Source organism: Homo sapiens, chromosome 6 (assembly GCF_000001405.40).
Source record: "Homo sapiens chromosome 6, GRCh38.p14 Primary Assembly".
In the NCBI taxonomy this organism is placed as follows: Eukaryota; Metazoa; Chordata; class Mammalia; order Primates; family Hominidae; genus Homo; species Homo sapiens.
The window spans coordinates 122391759-122393851 of NC_000006.12; the positions used below are offsets into that span (position 1 = coordinate 122391759).

At 35.8% G+C, this 2093-nt stretch overlaps 1 annotated feature.

The window, feature by feature from the left end:
* Positions 1475 to 2093: an enhancer, noted in NCBI's record as "NANOG hESC enhancer chr6:122714378-122714996 (GRCh37/hg19 assembly coordinates)". NCBI's record gives its function as "activates a minimal SCP1, AML or CMV promoter by ChIP-STARR-seq in primed H9 embryonic stem cells {active_cell/tissue: H9 hESC(primed)}" and the evidence as "EXISTENCE:reporter gene assay evidence [ECO:0000049][PMID:30033119]".

Sequence of the window (2093 nt, forward strand, 5' to 3'; positions counted from 1 at the left end):
TTGAGACACAAGGTTTGCAGGTTGTACTACTTTATGCCCATGCCAGCTGCTTCTGAGTGAGAATAGTTTATTTTTTTGAAATGTTTAATACAATCTGATTATAGTTTCAAAATATTAAGCTTAAAATGTCAAATTTATATGAATGATTTTGTTTTTAAATTAGAAATTTATTAATTATAATTTAATTTTTAATTTTATGATATTTCTAAATATTTTAAAACAAAATGTACAAAAACTTTAATTTTCCTATTTTTAACATGTATTTGAAATACATTTTATAAAATATATTCAGATTTGGTTGTTAAATACAGTTGTACTTTGAATACAACTACATTTCAAATACTTTGATCCAATAGAACATAGGTTATGTGACAACCTTGATGGTGACAATCTAACTGAAATATAGGCAAGAAAAAATAATTTTATGGAATAAATATACAATGATCTACAAATTATATATCTCTATTTTATTAATCATCAAAAACATCATTCCTCCATCAACAGAACACCAAACAATAATTACATTTGATCTTCGTGGATCAAAGTTAATTTAAAAATATTTTGCCAACCTAGTGTCTTATGAAAACTATACATACATTGTTTGTTTGTTTGTTTTTTTGTTTTTTGAGACAGGGTCTCACTCTGTTACCCAGCCTGCAGTGCACTGGCGCAATCACAGCTCATTGCAGCCTTAAACTCCTGGGCTCAAGCAATCCTGCCTTAGCCTCCTGGGTAGCTGGAACTACAGGCATGCACCACCATGCCCAGCTGAAAACTATGATTTGACACATATCTTTTAATTTTATTATTATGAAGATATATTTTTCAAGCTAGGAGACTAGAACATATTTTATTTAAGTTTGTTAGCTTGATTTGCAATCTTTAAAACTTCTGAAATATGGCATGTAAGCCTCTATTTTTACTCTTGCTTCAGGCCACCTAAATCCCCTGAACACTGGGTCTATGAGGATCCTAAGGTTAGGGCACCTAGAGAATAGGCTACCAGTTCAAGATAACACCATTCTCAGGTTAGTCAAAAATGGGGAAAGACAATACACTATTTTTAGTCAATACACATATCCTGAACTTCATTAATTTTACCAAGAAAGAAATCATTTCCACATCCATTGCCCTAGTTAACAAAACTTTGGTATTAATTAAAAAAATAAACATTAAGATTAAATCTTCATAGGAAAAGCATTAGATTAGTCTTTCATATGCTAACTAACCACCCCTGGAGAATGCCTTCCTAATTCGGGTTTTTCAACTGTTAACTTGACTGCCCCTAGGGTGCAGATTACAATTAACTACCACACTATATACTCCTCTTTAAATTGTAGTATTTTAAAGTAAATTATAGCAAATATAACAATTACCATATATAAGGGCTTTATAAATCAAGAGTTCTGCCATTAAGTAGCAAATTTTTTTTTTTTTTTGAGTCAGAGTCTTGCTTTGTCATCCAGGCTGGAGTGCAGTGGCGCAGTCTCAGCTCACTGCAAACTCCGCCTCCTGGGTTCAAGCAATTCTCCTGCCTCAGCCTCCGGAGTAGCTGAGAGCACAGGCGTGTCCCACACGCCTGGCTAATTTTTTGTATTTTTAGTAGAGATAAGGTTTCACCGTGTTAGCCAGGACGGTCTTGATCCTGTCCTTGTGATCCGCCCGCCTTGGCCTCCCCAAAGTGTTAGGATTACAGGCATGAGCCACTGCGCCCAACCGCAAATCTTTAAGAGGTCCTAGCAACTACTTGATTCAGACAATGGCAGACTTTTCTCCGAAAGATCAGAATTCATTCAGTTCTATCCTAGGATGCCTTCTCAGAAAGCAGCAGGTTGAGCCTTTGTTTCATCTCTACTGTACTGCACCACGCTGTGAGCACAGAATAGAAAAGTCATCTCTCTTTATGGCTGGTAAGTGGATGCTGCTCATAGTAGATGACTAAACTCTAAAGAGGTTAGAAATGTCCCAGTGGTTACCAGCTCTTCACAGACACCTCTCAGATCATGACACACAGCTGTGACAGTGACTGCCTCCTCACTGAACCCAATTTCTCCAGTTTAGTATTCAAAGCATGAGTGTATTTCTGTATCCAA